This window comes from Homo sapiens, chromosome 22, assembly GCF_000001405.40.
Source record: "Homo sapiens chromosome 22, GRCh38.p14 Primary Assembly".
Classification (NCBI taxonomy): Eukaryota; Metazoa; Chordata; class Mammalia; order Primates; family Hominidae; genus Homo; species Homo sapiens.
The window spans coordinates 32942292-32962466 of record NC_000022.11 but is presented as its reverse complement, the minus strand read 5'-3'; the positions used below and the strand labels follow the sequence as shown (position 1 = coordinate 32962466).

Genomic DNA, 20175 nt, shown 5'->3' with positions numbered 1-20175 from the left:
TTAATGGGAAATTACATTAAGATTCTAAAAGTAGGCTGGGCGTAGTGGCTCACGCCTGTAATCCCAGCACTCTGGGAGGCCGAGGTGGGCAGATCACAAGGTCAAGAGATCGAGACCATCCTGGCCAACATAGTGAAACCCCGTCTCTATTAAAAATACAAAAATTAGCCGGGTGAGGTGGCAGGCGCCTGTAGACCCAGCTACTCAGGAGGCTGAGGCAGGAGAATTGCTTGAACCCAGGAGGTAAAGGTTGCAGTGAGCCAAGATCACGCCACTGCACTCCAGCCTGGCGACAGAACGAGACTCTGTCTCAAAAAAAAAAAAAAAAAAAAAAAAAGAGATTCTAAAAGTAAACAGGCTCCTTCTCACTGACTCCTCTATAGTATTTTATTTGTGTGGAGGAACATTTTTTTGCTGCCTCAGTAGGAAGAAGCCATATTTTGAGACACTTTGGTTTGATGGACAGAGCTGTACCCGGGATCAGATGGACAAGGGCTTGAATCGTGGCTTTGCCTCCTGTTACCTGGGGGACTTCAAGGGAGTGGTTCAAGGTTCCAAGCTAATGTTTCTCTATTCACAGAATGGAGCTAGTAACCGCAATGCTACTATGTCCAGCACACGTTGAGAATTTGGTCTGTTTTAGTTAACACTAAGGGAACTTTGGATGTAAGTTGACTCATTTGTAAAAGGAGGAACTGGGAAATATACAGAGCATGTGCAACCCCCGGCCCTCCGCTGTTCAATGAAGGCAATGCCTTCCAGCCCAGCTGAGGGGCGGCCTCATTATCTTTCTCTGCACAGCAGCCAGAGCTGGCAGCAAGACCAAACCCACTGGATGACCTGAAAAGAACTTGCAGTTCTCACATTCTGTGGGGTTGCTACGAGGCTACTTAAACAGGATGGTAAATTATGGATAAAGTGGTTGGATCATGAGATGAGCTCAGTTGGTAAATATATGATGGGGGTGAAACCAAAACCCACTGACAACACAACTCTACTTTTTCTAGCCTAGAGTGTCTACTGAAACAAGTATTTTCCAACCATGCTCCTTAGAGCCCTACTTTACCACAGAGGTACCTGGGTACTCTGTGAACTGTTGGGCATCCTTGGAAGAGTAGAGAGAAAGAGAGAGAGAGAGAGAGAGAGATGCTAGAAAGAGGAAGATACGCTTAGCCTAACCTGTCTCCTCTTCTGTATTAGTAGCTAACAACCAGGGGTGATTTTTGCCCCAATCCCCCCAACAGGAGACATTTGGCAATGCCTGGAGACATTTTTGGTTGTCACAACAGGGGAGATCTCCTGACACCTGTGGGCAGAGGCCAGGTATGTTGCTAAACCTCCTACAATACACAAAACAGTCTTCCGCAACAAAGAGTTACATAGCTCAAAATGTCAATAGCGCCAAGGTTGAGAAACCCCCTTCTAGACCGAACAACTCAAAAACACACCTTTGTGCAAGGAGCCCCTTGGGTACCCTAAAGACAGTTTATGGTGGTGTGGGCTTCACTCTGGAGAAACTTCACCTTCACTCTCTCCTGCAGTTCCTGTTAGCAGCCTCAGGATAGGGACAGGGTCAGGACCTTATGCCCTATTTTTACAGGTAGAGCCACTGAGGCAAAAGGGCCTGTGATTTCCCCAAGATCCCAGAGCTAGGAAGTTCTAGAAATGCAATTGAAACCCAGGTCCGTCTGACCCCACGCTCAGCACTGTTTGTGACATGATCCACACTGGTCAGTGTGTCCCAGGCTTTGTACCCGGCAACCCAGCAGAGGCCTGACACCTGTCGAAAGTCCTGAGGGGCATGGGGGAAGCTGGTCAGAGCCTGTTGTCTTAAACATAACCAGGATTTGTTTTAGTTGAGCATGCAAGACGCGCAGTCACATGCATGACTGTCAAGAAGGAAGGAGCTCTTACACTCACAGTCCCCTAGAAGGAGGAGGCACAGCACCCCATGCCACATGCAGGCGGGGGGCACAGGGGAGCACCATGATTGTTCGTAGACAGAGGGAATGATAGGGAGATGTGGGCGAGAGCTTTTATTGTGAATTTGTGGGGAGGAGTGAGCAAGGCAGGGGAAACAGGTTTAGGATTGGTGAGTTTGAATTATTTCAACCGGCCTTGGAGAGTAGGGGCTGTCCCTAGTTGCCTGGTGCCTATCCCTGGGGTGATCAGGGCAGATGGGCAGTGCCCTGCAGTGTGACAGCCCCATATATAGAGGAGGTTGAGCCTGCGTTGGTTGGTTTGCATTCAGAGGGCGTGCTCCAGGCAAGCTCTTTGGTATCTCCAAGTCTTGGCTAACCTAGGAAGGGCATTCCCTCCAGGGCCAGCAAGGCCCAGGGGTCAAAGCATCAGAATACAGACAATGAAAGACATAGTTATGATACCTGTCTAACTCCAAAGCCTCAGCACACTGTTGCTTTCTAACGGTTTTTCAAAATAGAACAGTTTTGTTTCCAATTAAATTTTATGTAAAACCCAATATTTAAGCAGATTAAAAAATTAAAATTACTGCTCTGTTTGATGCGTAGCTGGAAGGTCCTGAACCCTTTGAGCCTCAAAAAAAAGTATCTGAAGTTGGGCATGGTGGCTCACGCCTGTAATCCCAGCACTTTGGAAGGCCAAGGCAAAAGGATCACTTGAGCCCAGGAGTCTGAGACCAGCTTGGGCAACAACATAGTGAGATCTTTACAAAAAAATTTTAAAAATTAGCCAGGCATTGTGGCACACGCCTGTAGTCCCAGCTGCTGGGGAGGCTGAGGTGGGAGGATTGCTTGAGCGCAGTAGGTCGAGGCAGCAGTGAGCCGTGATCGCATCATTGCACTCCAGCCTGAGCAACCGAGTCTCAAGGAGAAAAAAAAAAAGTGTCTGAGGCCTCTCCTTAGGCTGCCTCTTGAAAAGTAATTCTTTTTTTTTTCTGAGACAGTGTCTCACTCTGTCACCCAGGCTGGAGTACAGTGGCGCAATCTTGGCTCACTGCAACCTCTGCCTCCTGGGTTCAAGTGATTCTCCTGCCTCAGCCTCCCAAGTAGCTGAGATTACAGGCGTGCACCACCACACCTGTATTAGTCCGTTTTCACACTGCTGATAAAGACATACCCGAGACTGGGCAATTTACAGAACAAAGAAGTTTAATTGGACTTACAGTTCCATGTAGCTGGGGAAGCCTCACAATCATGATGGAAGGCAAGGAGGAGCAAGTCCCATCTCACATGGATGACAGCAAGCAAAGACAGAATGCAGAAGATGCAAAAGCGGAAACCCCTGATAAAACAATCAGATCTCGTGAAACTTATCAACTACCATGAGAATAGTATGGGGGAACTAACCCCATGATTCAATTATCTCCCACTGGGACTTGTGGGAGTACAATTCTAGATGAGATTTGGGTGGGAACACAGCCAACCCATATCAACACCCTACTATTTTTTGTATTTTTAGTAGAGATGGGGTTTCACCATGTTGGCCAGGCTGGTCTTGAACTCTTGACCTCAAGTCATCCACCCGCCTCAGCCTCTCAAAGTGCTGGGATTATAGGGGTGAGCCACTGTGCCCCTCCGAGAAGTAATTCCCTCACTGGGGTTCTATCGTCCTGCTGCTCCCATTGTCTCGGACTTTGCCGCATGTTGGAAGGAGCCTAGTGAAACAGTCAAAAGCAGGGACCTTGGATTCAGACTCGTGTTTGCATACTTGGTCTGTCACCTCCCTGCTATGTGATCTCATAAAACATACTAATCTCATCATGCCTCGGTGCCCCTTTCTAAAGTGGGGATAATAAGGCCTGTCTCACCAGGTTACTGTCAGGATTCATTACTACATGCAAAGCCCTTAGACTAGTGCCTGGCACATAGTAAGTGCTAAAACAAAAACAAAAAACAAAACTATGATAGATTTTAAATCTAATACAAATATAGTATGTAATAATTATTATATTGTCACTGGAACTATGGATAGTATTCATACAGCTACCACATCTAGTGCTATTACTACTAGTATCACCATTTTTGTTTCTACCTCTCCAAAGACTCCAACTACTACTTCTCCTACTAATGTACTGGCTGGGATAATTATTGTCATCACCACCCTTGGGTATTGCTACCACTCAAGTGTGAAGATGCAGAAAGCGACGTGAGCAATCACTGGGAGGCCATTCCGGACACACTTATCCTGTTTTGCTTGTATCCTGTTTGCACTTCCCTTGCTCTGGGTCTAGGGGGAGTCGTTTATGAAGTCCCTGAGATGTGTGGAGCTGCTGTTGATGTGGTTGTGGAAGTGATGCTACGTTTACGGGATGTTTTCTCTGAGCCTACAGGGTTGGAAATGATCCATTACAGCTATTTGTGGACACTGGACATGTGAATGTCATTGTGAGTTGAGCATGTTGTTGTCTCAGAAGTGCAGAGGGCCTCTGTGCTCCTCAGAATATGGACAGACAGACCTCATTGCCTTTGCTTCTTGATGCGGAATGCATTTGCCACAGGTGGGTTCTTTTCCCTGACACTGTCCCTTGCAGTCCCCGTTTTGGAGATTAGGTTTGGGTTAGCGCGAAGCTCTATCTGAGTCATGCTGGGGTGGAACCACGGTAGCCCCTGTGGAAGAAAATGAGCATCTGAGAAGAGGAATTCAGCCTTTAGAAACATGAGTCTCTATTGAGGGAAAAGGGATCAGGGAAACAACCTATTTGCAAGGAGCAAAGTGGCCCTTGGGCTCCCTCCTTTCCTGAGCCTAGGCTTAACTTGGAGATATTTCACAGCAGACTTTTGAAAGGGTGACCAGTTCATACCAAGCTGCCTTAAATGCTTGGAGCAAAAGCCTATGGGGATTTGCAAATCAACCTCGGGAAGAGAAATTAGCTGTGTCTTGCTCCAAAGCTTGCTCCAAAATAAACACATAAGCTGTGCCGGTGGGGAGAGCGCGGGGCTTTTTTCTTCTTCATTTTAAAAACTCCATGTGTGCATTATTTTAAATAGGCGCCAGCACATGAGGCCCTTTTAACAAGATTGAAAACAGATGGGGCCTTAGGCTGTTCGGTAGCTTTCAGAAACTCACAGGAGAAGTGCTAAGCCATCCTGCATCCCGGCGATGTTCATTTTCTTGTGGAAGCACAAGTCCGGCCAGGCCTCTCATTCCCAGAGAGCACGAGTCTGCTTCCTGCATCAGGTGTGTCAGCCAGGGGAAGGAAATATCTCCTTTCACTGCATTTACCCATGTTTGCGTTTACTTAACCCTTGGGCAGCTTGGGAGAAAAGAGGATTGTGCTAATCTTGGAGCCCTCGTGCTTCTGGAGTTAAAAGCACTGGGCTTAACTTCCTTATTGTAAATCAGATTATGCCCCTCTGTGGGTAGAAAACCATCTCTCCAGAGGTGCCAGTCTCACTCCAAGCCATAGCCAAAGTCCTTCCCAATACCTAAGGGCCCTTCCTGATTAGCCTGCCCTGACCTTGTTCCTGACCCTATTTTCCTGGCTTACTCTGATCCATCCACACGGGCTGTCTTGCTCTTCCTTAAAATCAAACAACAGAAAATAACAAGTGTTGGTGAGAAGGTGGAGAGATTGGAACCTTTGTGCACTGATGTGGGAATGTAGAATGAGGCAGCCACTGTGGAGAACAGTATGGCAGTTCCTTCAAAAATTAAATGTAGAATTACTGTACAATCCAGCAATTCTACTTCTGGGAATTTACCCAGAAGAATTGAAAGCAGGGACTTGAACAGATATTTGTACACCCATGTTCACAGCAGCATGGTTCGCAATAGCCAAAAGGTGGAAACAACCCAGATGTCCATCAGCAGATGAATGGGTGAACAAAATGTGCTATGTCCAAACAATAGAATATTATTCAGCCTCAAAAAAGGAATTCTGGCATATGCTACAATATAGATGAGCCTTGAAAACATGATATTACGTGATAGAAGTCAGACACAAAAGGACAAATGTTATATGATTCCAGTAATCTGAAGTACCTAGAGTAGTCAAATCTATTGAGACACAGTAGGATAGAAATTAGTAGGGGTGGCCGGGTAAGGTGGCTCACACCTGTAATCCCAGCACTTTGGGAGGCTGAGGCAGGTGGATTATTTGAGGTCAGAGTTTGAGACCAGCCTGACCAACATGGTGAAACACTGTCTCTACTAAAAATACAAAAATTAGCTGGGCGTGGTGGTGGGCACCTGTAATCCTAGCTACTTGGGAGGCTGAGGCAGGAGAATCACTTGAACCCAGGAGGTGGAGGTTGCAGTGAGCCAAGATCGTGCCTCTGCATTCTGGCCTGGGCGACAGAACAAGACTCTGTCTCAAAAAAAAAAAAAAAGTTAGTAGGGGCTGGGAGGGGGACAGGTTCTGTATAACATTTTTTGGGGGGGGCGGTATTAGGGTTCTCTACAGGGACAGAACTAATAGGAGATTTTATATATATATATATATATATGTGAATTTATTAAGTAGTATTAACTCACACAATCACAAGTTCACACAATAGGCCATCTGCAATCTGAAGAGCAAGTAAGCCAGTCTGAGTCCCAAAGCTGAAGAACTCGGAGTCCAATGTTAGAGGGCAGGAAGCATCCACCATGGAGAAAAAGATGTAGGCTGAGAGGCTAGGCCAGTCTAGCCTTTTCATGTTCTTCTGCCTGCTTTATATTCACTGGCAGCTGATTAGATGGTGCCCACCCAGATTAAGGGTGAGTCTGCCTTCCCCAGCCCAGTGACTCAAATGTTAATCTCCTTTGGAAACACCCTCACAGACACACCCAGGATCAATAATTTGCATTCTTCAATCCCATCAAGTTGACACTCAGTATTAACCATCACAAGTGGTAATGAAAAAGTTCTGGAGATGGTTAGCGGTGGTGGTTGCACAACACCATGAATGTACTTAATGCCACTAAAATGTACACTTAAAAAAGGATTAAAATGATAAATTTTATGTTGTATATAATTTACCACAATGAAAAACATAAAAATCTTTAAAATATCAAGCAAGTGCATCAAGGCCTTTGCCTGGGCCCCTCATCCCCCAGGTGTCCGCATGGCTCATGCCCTCACTGTATTCAGGTGCTTTGCCCAAATGTCACCTCCTCAGAAATGCTTGCCCCCCACCCCCTATCTGAAATGGCACTTCCATGCACACTTCTCCATCACTTTATCTGCCTCATTTTTCTTTGCAGCATTTAGCATCCTGAGTGCTGAACCCGCTGGCCTTTCAAAGTGTCTGGTGCTTAGCTGGAGCTGTGATAGGAACAGCAGGGTCTATGCATTTGGGGTTCAAAGGTGGCCGTATTCTTGGAGGTCCCAGTAGTAGGAAGTAGTAGGTCCTCACCTGGGGGTGCAGGGCTGTTCCCTGGATGTGCAGACTGGATCATATGGAGGGTAAATGAGATACAGGGAGACAGTAGTTCTAGAACAAGAAGGCGAGGTCTGCACTATGGGTAGCAATGAGAATAGAAAAGGAAGTCTGAGTGCCTTTTTTCCTTCCTACAATCCTGAGAAAGATTTTGGACCTTTAAAATGAAAAGAAAAAAAAAAAAGAAAAGGAAAAAGCATTTGAATTTCTTAGAGCTTTGATGAACAAGATGTTCCTCTCATCACATTATAACTTTGAGTTTTCCATTTGGAAAAAAAAAAAAACATTTACAGAAATATAACTGTACCAGCCCCGCTTCAGCTCCTTCAATATGTCCCCTCACTATGGTCTGCAGAATTAGAATCCACAGTGCCCAGCTCCAGCAGCATCTTCTTACCCCAAACAGCCTCTCTTCCCAGGACTGCTTTCCTCTTGCAGTTTCTGGTTCATCTGTGGTACTACTGAGTGTTAGCCCCCAACAATGGACTGTGCTTCCACATCTTGATCTTAATGCACCCAGAACCCATCCATCAGGAGAGCCAGAGGGCTGCGAGGACACTTTTTCACACACTTTGCAGAGCATTTGGCAGAATGGTGTCTAAGCATGTGGAGCCCAGCTCATAGCAATGGGACGTAAATGTCAAGGAAACATTAACCACTGTTCTTTTCTTTGTATCTAAGCTGTGGTCTTAAAATCTCTGAACATTTGCCCTATCCACTGCAGGTAGCAAAAATTCATTGCAGTTAGCAAAATTTGTTTCTAGGTCTGTCGACCTTCTAAAAGCTCTGGAGGTGGGGAGAGATGAAGCTGTGGTGGTCTCACCATCCTGTTCCCCTTAAAGGCCCCTTTTTCTCCCCTTCGATGAACCTCCTTCCTGTCCTAGGGACATTATTAAAGGCTCTCCCCAACCTTGAAGTCTCCCCTGGCATAGGGCAAAGGGCAATGGATGTTTTACTTTGATTCTCAGGTGCGGTTTTTGTTTTGTTTTGTTTTGTTTTGTTTTGTTTTGTTTTGTTTTGTTTTGTTGGGTGTGGGTACAACTCTCTCAGGAACCCTGAGCAGGAAGGGGCGACTATCAGGACAGAATTAGGGCATGCCTGGTCCTCTGGCCTCCAGTCACCAGAACCCCACCTCGATCCTAGCAAATGTACATCTAGGCTTTTGGGAACAAAACTTTGCCATTAAGAAATTCCTTAAAAATCAGAACAATACATCTAACTGATGATTTTTCTCAAACTTGACTCCCTAACATCTTATATTGCCAAGTGTGATGATGTTGATGAAGAAGGAGGAGGGGGATGAGGAGGAGAATCATCTCCACCATTATCTTCCTTGACAATAGTGGAGATGATGATGTTGGTGATAAGGATAGTAAAGATGCCAACATCTTCCCATCTCATGCAGAATAAAATCCTAAACCCTTGCTGTGACCTGGTCCGTCATCCCCTCTCTGATCTCATCTTCTTTCCTGACCACCTTACTAGCCCTGTTCCAGGCACGCCAATTTTCTTGCTGTTCCTTGAATTCTGTATATATACTCCAGCCTCAGGGTCTTTGCACCTGCTGGTCTCTCTGCCTGGAAAGCCCCCTCCCCCGCCCCTTATTAATAGGTTTTGCTACCTCACTTTGCTCATATCACTGATCAAATTTATTCTTCTCCTGACCCCTTTATTTAACACAAAACTCAACTTCTGGCACTCTGTCTTCTTGCCAGTGTTTCTCTTTCCTCTCCCAATGTATTATTTATATTTATTATTAATGGTCTGCACTAGAATATAAGGTGAGGACAGGGAATTTTTTCTGTTACTTTCACTGCTGTGTCACCAGCCCCTAGCCCTGGCAGAGCAGCTGCTCAATAAGAATGTCCTAAATGAATAAATGAATAAATGGATGCAAACAGAATCAGACTGACCTGAGTTCAAGTCCTTGCTCTCTGGTGCAATAGCTTTGTGATCTTAGCCAAGTCATTTGAACACTCTCTGCTCTCCAGTTTTCTTATCAACTATGAGGAGGCTAATACCCATGCTTCTATCAATGTTGTTGTGATAATCAAATTAATTAGTATAACCTTGATAGCTAACATTCATTACACATTTATTTTTGCCTAAGCACCTTGCTAAGAGCTTTCAAGTGGATTAATTCATTTAATGCTCACAACTGCCCTATGAAGGCACCATAGCCTCTTTTTACAGATGAGAGACTAAGGCATAAGAAGGCTAACTTGCCCAAAGTTGTACAGCAAGGCAGGGGTGGAGATCAGATTCAAACTCGTTTGTTCTGATTCCAGAAAACATTATGTTACATCAAACATTTTGTAAACTGCAAAACACTGCTTTTTATTTTTAAATTCTATTTATTTATTTATTTATTTGAGATAGGGTTTTGCTCTGTTCCTTGGGCTGCAGGGCGATGGTGCAATCATAGCTCACTGCAGCCTTGAACTCGTGGGCTCGAGTGAGCCTTCCGCTTCGAGTCCTAAGTAACTAGGACGATAGGCATGCACCACCACACCTGGCTGATTTTTAAATTTTTTGTAGAGACAGGGTCTCACTATGTTTTCCCAGGCTGGTCTCGAACTCCTGGGCTCAAGCAATCCTCCTGCCTCAGCCTCCCAAAGTGCTGAAGTTACACGTGTGAGCCACTGAGACCAGTCTGATTTTTCAAATACAATGTGGCAAACCCATCCTAATTTTGAATATTCTAATACATGAACATTTAGGAATGTAGGTTTTTATTATTTTATTTTTTTTCTGTGTTTTTGTATTTATTTGGACATTTTTAATGTGTTTATCCCTCCCCACCCTGCCTGTCCACACACACACACACCCCCCCACACACACATTATTCACATGCGTGTGCGCACACACACACTCATTCAATATTCACACACACACAGGCATGCTATGATTTTTCTGGTGGGCCAGGCCTTCACTGAGATGCCGAGTGCTTCTACTGAGCAAGATTTCCTCATCTGGAATGGGCTGCTAGGTGAGTGGGCAGACTCTCAAAGCCTTTTTCGTCTGCAAGGTGAGTCTGAACTGGTGGGAAAGAGCTCAGCCCTGAGATGCCAGCCAAGGAAGTCACTGATCCCCCCCAGGACCAGCAAGCTAAAAATACAGCCTGTGCCGGGAAGTGGACAGGAAGCAGTTCTTGCTGACTGCAGGCCTCAGGCCACCTGCCAAGTGTCTGCCATCGGTGGAGCAGTCAGAAGAGGCCGAATGGAGGAGGGGAGGGGGCCCATGGGCTTCGCTGACAGATGCTGCAAACTGGTGTGCACAAGACCGGGAAGGTGAAAGACAAGGGCGACTGTAGGCCACAAACTGAGTCCGAGCTGGCCCAACTCTGCACACTCCAACGGGAGTCACCTCAAATAACTGGCATGCACTTGATGTCACCTCCTGCCCACCAGAAAATCACACTTGTGAAGCATGTTGGCCTGGGTATGGGTCCCAGCTGACATAATTTCCAGGGTGGAACTTGGGGAACAGTCTCTGTGCTTCCTTAAGTCTTATCTTTGACATCTGCAAAATGGGCATTGGTTCATTGAGTGATATTGACGGAGCACAGGCACTGTTTTAGGAGCTGAGATAGAGTGGTGAACAAAGCAGATAAAATCTCTGCCCTGCAGAGCTTCTACTTGAGTGAGAGAGGTAGACCATTGAATAGTTAATTGAGATGGACGTAAATCTTTATGTCACGTAGGGATGAGTGCTTTAGGGAAGAATAAGCAAGGAAATTGGCTGTGGAACCCAGCAGGGTGCTTTGCAGGGAGGATGCAGCTGGGGGCGCCACTGAGAGGGACTCTGAATGGCCTGAGGAAGGCAGCCATGCTGCTGGCTCAGGGAAGCCCTTTGGTGGTGGGGACAGGAGGCTGGAGCTTGCTTGGTGTGTTTGACAGTGTGGCAATGGCTGAGCAAGTCGGAACTAGGGGGATGGGGGGAGGCATCAGAGTAAATCATGTGAGACCTTGTAAGTCATGTAGGGTTTGTGTTTCCTTTTTATTATCACTGCTATTGTTTATCCTTTTTGAATGAGTGTCTTTGGCTATGAAAGAATTTAGGAAGTGAGGAAGATCATAATACATGCAGACTGCTGATGTTTTTTAAAGGAATTTAATGATACAGTTTCATTCCCAAGAGTAAACATATCAGTCTGCTAGGAATTAGGGTAGAATTTTGATGATAATTTGCAAGAGGGCTCAGGAATGCCCTAATCCTTCCTTGACAATCACCAGCACCACCCCTGCTACACCCCTCATTATAGGTTCCTAAGATGGCTGACAACCAAAGGAGGAACGGCAAATCACCACTGAAATTACAGTCCAGCGTTAGCTGCCCCAGGTTCGCTACCCTTAGTTCCTCTGCTAAATCTGGGCTGAATCCCTCAGTTTAGGCTTTAGAACTAAGCAGTGCAACCTCTTACCCTCCCTTGAAGCCAAACCTCATCTGCGGATGTTACTAACTAGATATGTGGCTGTTCTTACTCAAAAGTCACAAGGCCTCACAATGACAACTATGAAAAAATAGCAGGACATCCGGGCCTCCTGGGAATCAGAAGAAGCTCCCGGGAATTAGAGTTTATGGCTGCCAACTCATAGATTGGAAGTCAGAGTTGCAGAGAGAAAGATGAATGCTTAAAGATAGTATCTTTCAGGACTTAAAAAGCAGGAAAGAGGAAGTTAACACAATGACCACCCAGATCAACAGACACGTAGCTACAGAGAGGCAGAATGTGGAGGCCAGAATCACCCCCGGCCATGACCCTGCCCACTAGCAAATGTGGCATTGTGATTCCTGACCAGTAGACTAACTGCTTCTCTTTATGAGATGCAGTAAGAAAAACCTTATGGAACAGACCACGGGGTCTGAAGTTGTTCTAGCATTAGGAGAGGTGCTGAGAGTGCTGACTTTTTCCTGTGAACTTAGTACCTGTGTGTCTCTGTCTCCTCTCTGTCTCTTTTTCTCTCTCTGTTTCTCCTGCAAAATATGCAAGTGCCCAAGGCCATGGGCAGGGGAACACGCCTAAGGGTTGGGTTTAAGGGTACAGTCTGGACCAGATACTTCTTCACCAACTGACAGGAATTCCCAGTATCTTATCAGTCACCCTGGGATTCCAGACAAATCTATCTGCCAGCATCTTGCCTTTCTCAGGAACTCTGGACAACATCTCGTTGTGTCACAATCCTCCCTCAGTCAGGCTTCAAGGTCAAAGCTGACAGCTGCTACCTTCACATTCCCACACATTCTTGGTTTCTTGTGTACATTCCAGTCAGTCATCCACGTCCATGTCTCGATTTCTGCTTCTTTCCTATTGACCTGTTGGCCTAATAACATGCTTCAGCTTAGTATTATGATGATGATTACAATCACCATTTTCCATTCTGTCATCAACATGATTATCATCGCAAATGCAATTATTAGTAACTAGACATGAATACCCCGTGCTTTCAGTAATATTATCTGCTTGGCATTACCTTCTTGTCAGGTGCCAGTGCCGGTGAAAATGCAGCCAAAGACCCTACAGGAAATTGAATGCATTCCATCTCTATTCCTGTGTGCGTGCACGCATGCATGCGTGTGTGTGGGTGTGTGGGCGTGTTCCTGAAACTGGACACGAGTTTAATTACAAACAGGTGCTTACAGGTTAAGCATCCCAAGTCCGAAAATCCAAAATCCAGAATACTCCAAAACCCAAAACTTTTTTTTTTTTTGACATAGAGTCTCGCTCTGTCTCCCAGGCCGGAGTGCAGTGGTGCAGTTATAGCTCACTGCAGCCTTGAACTCAAAGCTCAAGCATCCTCCTGCCTGAGCACCCCCGCCCCCCGCTGGTAACTGGGTCTACAGGTGCACACCACCATGCCTGGCTAATTTTTTAAAAAGATATAAGGGTCTTACCTTGTTACACAGGCTCGTCTTAAACTCCTGGCTTCAAGTGATTCTCCCACCTTGGCCTCCCAAGATACTGGGATTAAATCAGTGTGAGCTGCTGTGCCCGGCCAAAATCCAAAATTTTTAGTGATATGATGCTCAAAGGAAATGCTCACTGGAGCATTTCAGATTTTGGATTTTGGGATTAGAGATGCTCAACTGGTAAGTATATATACTGCAAATATTTCAAAATCTGAAAACAAATCCAAAATGCAAAACACTTCTGGTCCCAAGCATTTCAGATAAGGAATGTTCAACCTGTATCTCCTTCTGACCTAGGAGAATGTCAGAGAGATTTTCTTTCTTTCTTTTTTTTTTTTTTAGACATTTAATGAAAAACATTTAATGAAAAAATGTTTCCAAACTTAATGGAAATTTTAAACCCAAGAAGCTCAACGAACATGAAATAAGAAGAAAAAACACAAAACCATACCGAGGAACTTATTTATTTATTTATTTATTGAGACGGAGTCTCACTCTGTCACCCAGGCTGGAGTGCAGTGACGCGATCTCGGCTCACTGCAAGCTCCGCCTCGCAGGTTCACGCCATTCTCCTGCCTCAGCCTCCCGAGTAGCTGAGACTACAGGCACCCGCCACCACGCCCGGCTAATTTTTTTGTATTTTTAGTAGAGACGAGGTTTCACCATGTTAGCCAGTATGGTCTCGATCTCCTGACCTTGTGATCTGCCCGCCTCGGCCTCCCAAAGTGCTGTGATTACAGGCATGAGCCACCGCGCCTGGCCCAAAGAGATTTTCTTAATGGATGATTCCAATTATATCTAGCACCTATAACAGAGCCTGGAACTTCGAATGTGCTGCATAAATATTTGTCGTTAGGAATTGAGTTACTCCCCTCCTCTGCAACCCTTAGTGTTTCCTAGTAGCCCGCTACAGTGTCTATGCCCTAGTCCCTGGAACCTATGAAAATGTTATTCAAAAGGAACTTAGCAGATGTGATTACAGTTATGGACCTTAAGACAGGAGAGGATTCTACAGTATCCAACTAGACCCCATCAAACCACACAAGTCCTTAAAAGCAGAGAACTTTCTCATACTGGAGATGGAGATGTGGCAGACAAGAAGTCAATAAAAATTTGAAAAGTGAAAAGTACTCAGTGTGCCATTACTAGTTTGAAGATGGGAGTACAACGTCATAAGGAAAACATACAGCCCTAAGCAGCTGAGAGTCTCTCCCAGGAAACGAGGACCTCAGTTCTATAATTGCAGATAACTGACTTCTGCCAGTAACCTGGAGGAATCTGGAAGTGGCTTCCTCCCAGAGCCTTGCAATAAGAGCCCAGCTGGCCAACACCTTGATTTGGGCCATGTGCAACACAGAACAGAGAAACCAACCAAGCTAACCTGGACTTCTGACCTATATAGCAGTGAGATAATAAGTTTGTGTTGTTTGAAGGCATTAAATTTGTGATAACTTTTATGGCAGCAATAGAAGACTAATATGCTGTAGAATGATATTCACGTTCCTTCACAGGGCACTCAAAATCTTCATGAACTGGTCTCCCAGCAACCTTTGCCTTCTATTATGTGCTTCCATATACTCCATGTCCCAGCTACAAACGACACCTCACCATTCCATTGGCCCCATAGCCCTATTCTCACCTGTGCTTTTGTTCCTGGAAACTTAGGTTGAGCCTTTCCCCTGCTCTCTGCCTGAAAACATCCTCCTTGTCACAGTCTGGAGGCCCTGGCAATGCAGTTTCAGAAGGCAAGTTGCTTAATGTGTGAGGGTATCCATTCATCTGTAAAATATAAAAAATTTTGGTGATAAGTATTTTTGAATACCTACTGTGTGCCAGGAGCTGGGTATAAAACAATGAACAGCTTTCTTATAAAAAATATTCCTACTTGGCTGGCATTTCTTTCTTATAAAGTATGCCATGATAATAGATGATTTCTTTGATGACAGTTAGGGGACATTGGTTGAGAAAAAGATGAACATATAACAGTTAAATAGACCATGGACATAATTGATTCAATTAATTATAGCTCTTTAATTGAAAGATGAAGAGAGTTAAGAGCAGAGAGGAAGTGAGGGGTTTGCTTAAGGCCATACACTGGGTCAGTGTCAAATTCAAGATTTAGATCTCTGATCTCCAGACTTCAAGGCCAATCCCTTTTCCACCATTTATTCGTTCCTCCAAGTACATATTTAAAGAGTTATACACAAACAGAAAAGCTCAGATAGTCCAGTACGTTCAGTTATCATTGAGATCAGTGTTGAAAACCTCTCACAGCTAGTTTAGCAAGAGTAGCAAAATACCAAGAGCTCTGTCTGTGCCTATATATAGCCCTCATCTAGAGACCAAAGAATTAAAACCTATTTGTCCTTAATGATGTCTAGACATAATCTCCTACAAATGTATAACATGGCTATTTTCCCCCCTAAAACAATCAGAATTACATGCAGCCATCTTCATTTACTAAAGCAATATATTATGGCATGGGGTCTTTTTTTCTGTTAAAAATAAGGGAAAAAAGTTTTTTTTATTATACTTTAAGTTCTAGGGTACATGTGCAAAACGTGCAGGTTTGTTACCTATGTATACATGTGCCATGTTGGTGTGCTGCACCCATTAATTCATCATTTACATTAGGTATATCTCTTAATGCTATCCCTCCCCCTCCCCCGGCCCCACAACAGGCCCCTATGTGTGATGTTCCCCTTCCTGTGTCCAAGTGTTCTCATTGTTCAATTCCCACCTATGAGTGAGAACATGCGGTGTTTGGTTTTCTGTCCTTGTGATAGTTTGCTGAGAATGATGGTTTCCAGCTTCATCGATGTCCCTACAAAGGACACGAACTCATCCTTTTTTATGGCTGCATAGTATTCCATGGTGTATATGTGCCACATTTTCTTAATCCAGTCTATCATTGATGGACATTTGGGTTGGTTCCAAGTCTTTGCTATTGTGAATAGTGCCGCAATAAACATACGTGTGCATGTGTCTTTATAGCAGCATGATTTATAGTCCTTTGGGTATATACCCAGTAATGGGATGGCTGGGTCAAACGGTATTTCTAATTCTAGATCCTTGAGGAATCGCCACACTGTCTTCCACAATGGTTGAACTAGTTTACAGTCCCACCAACAATGTAAAAGTGTTCCTATTTCTCCACATCCTCTCCAGCACCTGTTGTTTCCTGACTTTTTAATGATCGCCATTCTAACTGGTATGAGATGGTATCTCATTGTGGTTTTGATTTGCATTTCTCTGACGTCCAGTGATGGTGAGCATTTTTTCATGTGTCTGTTGGCTGCATAAATGTCTTCTTTTGAGAAGTGTTTGTTCATATCCTTCGCCCACTTTTTGATCGCCTTGTTTGGTTTTTTCTTGTAAATTTGTTTGAGTACTTTGTAGATTCTGGATATTAGCCCTTTGTCAGATAAGTAGATTGCAAAAATTTTCTCCCATTCTGTAGGTTGCCTATTCACTCTAGTGGTAGTTTCTTTTGCTGTGCAGAAGCTCTTTAGTTTAATTAGATCCCATTTGTCAATGTTGGCTTTTGTTGCCATTGCTTTTGGTGTTTTAGACATGAAGTCCTTGCCCATGCCTATGTCCTGAATGGTATTGCCTAGGTTTTCTTCTAGGGTTTTTATGGTTTTAGGTCTAACATTTAAGTCTTTAATCCATCTTGAATTAATTTTTGTATGAGGTGTAAGGAAGGGATCCAGTTTCAGCTTTCTACATATGGCTAGCCAGTTTTCCCAGCACCATTTATTAAATAGGGAATCCTTTCCCCATTTCTTGTTTTTGTCAGGTTTGTCAAAGATCAGATGGTTGTAGATGTGTGGTATTATTTCTGAGGGCTCTGTTCTGTTCCATTGGTCTATATCTCTGTTTTGGTACCAGTACCATGCTGTTTTGGTTACTGTAGCCTTGTAGTATAGTTTAAAGTCAGGTAGCGTGATGCCTCCAGTTTTGTTCTTTCGCTTAGGATTGTCTTGGCAGTGTGGGCTCTTTTTTGGTTCCATATGAACTTTAAAGTAGTTATTTCCAGTTCTGTGAAGAAAGTCATTGGTAGCTTAATGGGGATGGCATTGAATCCATAAATTGCCTTGGGCAGTATGGCCATTTTCACAATATTGATTCTTCCTATCCATGAGCATGGAATGTTCTTCCATTTGTTTGTGTCCTCCTTTATTTCGTTGAGCAGTGGTTTGTAGTTCTCCTTGAAGAGATCCTTCACATCCCTTGTAAGTTGGATTCCTAGGTATTTTATTCTCTTTGAAGCAATTGTGAATGGGAGTTTACTCATGATTTGGCCCTCTGTTTGTCTGTTATTGGTGTATAAGAATGCTTGTGATTTTTGCATATTGATTTTGTATCCTGAGACTGCTGAATTGCTTATCAGCTTAAGGAGATTTTGGGCTGAGACGATGGGGTTTTCTAAATATACAATCATGTCATCTGCAAACAGGGACAATTTGACTTCCTCTTTTCCTAATTGAATGCCCTTTATTTCTTTCTCCTGCCTGATTGCCCTGGCCAGAACTTCCAACACTGTGTTGAATAGGAGTGGTGAGAGAGGGCATCCCTGGCTTATGCCAGTTTTCAAGGGGAATGCTTCCAGTTTTTGTCCATTCAGTATGATATTGGCTGTGGGTTTGTCATAAATAGCTCTTATTATTTTGAGATACATCCCATCAATACCTAATTTATTGAGAGTTTTTAGCATGAAGGGCTGTTGAATTTTGTCAAAGGCCTTTTCTGCATCTATTGAGATAATCATGTGGTTTTTGTCTTTGGTTCTGTTTATATGCTGGATTACGTTTATTGATTTGCATATGTTGAACCAGCCTTGCAACCAGGGATGAAGCCCACTTGATCATGTCATTCAGGAGCAGGTTGTTCAGTTTCCATGTAGTTGAGCGGTTTTGAGTGAGTTTCTTAATCCTGAGTTCTAGTTTGATTGCACTGTGGTCTGAGAGACAGTTTGTTATAATTTCTGTTCTTTTACATTTGCTGAGGAGTGCTTTACTTCCAACTATGTGGTCAATTTTGGAATAAGTGTGATGTGATGCTGAGAAGACTGTATATTCTGTTGATTTGGGGTGGAGTGTTCTGTAGATGTCTATTACGTCCACTTGGTGCAGAGCTGAGTTCAATTCCTGGATATCCTTGTTAACTTTGTCTCGTTGATCTGTCTGATGTTGACAGTGGGGTGTTAAAGTCTTCCATTATTATTGTGTGGGAGTCTAAGTCTCTTTGTTAAGTCTCTAAGGACTTGCTGTATGAATCTGGGTGCTCCTGTGTTGGGCGCATATATATTTAGGATAGTTAGCTCTTCTTGTTGAATTGATCCCTTTACCATTATGTAATGGTCTTCTTTGTCTCTTTTGATCTTTGCCGGTTTAAAGTCTGTTTTATCAGAGACTAGGATTGCAACCCCTGCCTTTTTTTGTTTTCCATTTGCTTGGTAGGTCGTCCTCCATCCCTTTATTTTGAGTCTATGTGTGTCTCTGCACGTGAGATGGGTCTACTGAATACAGCACACTGATGGGTCTTGACTCTTTATCCAATTTGCCAGTCTGTGTCTTTTAATTGGAGCATTTAGTCCATTTACATTTAAGGTTAATATTGTTATGTGTGAATTTGATCCTGTCATTATGATGTTAGCTGGTTATTTTGCTCGTTAGTTGATCCAGTTTCTTCCTAGCATCGATGGTCTTTACATTTTGGCATGTTTTTTCATGCCAGATGTACCGGTTGTTCCTTTCCATGTTTAGTGCTTCCTTCAGGAGCTCTTGTAGGGCAGGCCTGATGGTGACAAAATCTCTCAGCATTTGCTTGTCTGTAAAGTATTTTATTTCTCCTTCACTTATGAAGCTTAGTTTGGCTGGATATGAAAATCTGGGTTGAAAATTCTTTTCTTTAAGAATGTTGAATATTGGCCCTCACTCTCTTCTGGCTTGTAGAGTTTCTGCCAAGAGATCCACTGTTAGTCTGATGGGCTTCCCTTTGTGGGTAACCCGACCTTTCTCTCTGGCTGCCCTTGACATTTTTTCCTTCATTTCAACTTTGGTGAATCTGACAATTATGTGTCTTGGAGTTGCTCTTCTCGAGGAGTATCTTTGTGGTGTTCTCTGTATTTCCTGAATTTGAATGTTGGCCTGCCTTGCTAGGTTTGGGAAGTTCTCCTGGATAATATCCTGCAGAGTGTTTTCCACCTTGGTTCCATTCTCTCAGTCACTTTCAGGTACACCAGTCAGACGTAGATTTGGTTTTTTCACATAGTCCCATATTTCTTGGAGGCTTTGTTCGTTTCTTTTTACTCTTTTTTTCTCTAAACTTCTCTTCTCACTTCATTTCATTCATTTGATCTTTAATCAATGATACCCTTTCTTCCAGTTGATCAAATTGGTTACTGAAGCTAGTGCATTCGTCACGTAGTTCTCGTGCCATGGTTTTCAGCTCCATCAGGTCATTTAAGGACTTCTCTACACTGGTTATTCTAGTTAGCCATTTGTCTAATCTTTTTTCAAGGTTTTAGCTTCTTTGCGATGGGTTTGAACTTCCTCCTTTAGCTCAGAGAAGTTTGATCGTCTGAAGCCTTCTTCACTCAACTCGTCAAAGTCATTCTCCATCCAGCTTTGTTCCATTGCTGGTGAGAAGCTGCGTTCCTTTGGAGGAGAAGAGGCGCTCTGATTTCTAGAATTTTCAGCTTTTCTGCTCTGTTTTTTCCCCATCTTTGTGGTTTTATCTACCTTTGGTCTTTGATGATGGTGACGTACAAATGGGGTTGTGTTGTGGATGTCCTTTCTGTTTGTTAGTTTTCCTTCTAACAGTCAGAACCCTCAGCTGCAGGTCTGTTGGAGTTTGCTGGAGGTCCACTCCAGACCTTGTTTGCCTGGGTATCAGCAGCAGAGGCTGCAGAACAGCGAAT

General features: G+C 44.0%; 1 protein-coding gene across 18 annotated transcripts in view, besides 1 other annotated feature; it reads left to right on the top strand.

The window, feature by feature from the left end:
* SYN3 (synapsin III) overlaps positions 1-20175 on the top strand; it is a 550562-nt gene that overhangs the window by 95915 nt on the left and 434472 nt on the right. Inside the window, exon 1 of one of the 18 annotated variants that reach the window (XM_011530410.4) lies at positions 3628-4477. The exons of the other annotated variants lie outside the window; for them this stretch is intronic. Coding sequence (XP_011528712.1) covers positions 4463-4477 — 15 coding nt within the window. The 5' untranslated portion in view covers positions 3628-4462. Of the gene's footprint in view, positions 1-3627; positions 4478-20175 lie in introns of those variants that run through there. 18 annotated transcript variants of the gene reach the window in all.
* Positions 10608-11109: an enhancer, noted in NCBI's record as "H3K4me1 hESC enhancer chr22:33347343-33347844 (GRCh37/hg19 assembly coordinates)". NCBI's record gives its function as "activates a minimal SCP1, AML or CMV promoter by ChIP-STARR-seq in naive H9 embryonic stem cells {active_cell/tissue: H9 hESC(naive)}" and the evidence as "EXISTENCE:reporter gene assay evidence [ECO:0000049][PMID:30033119]".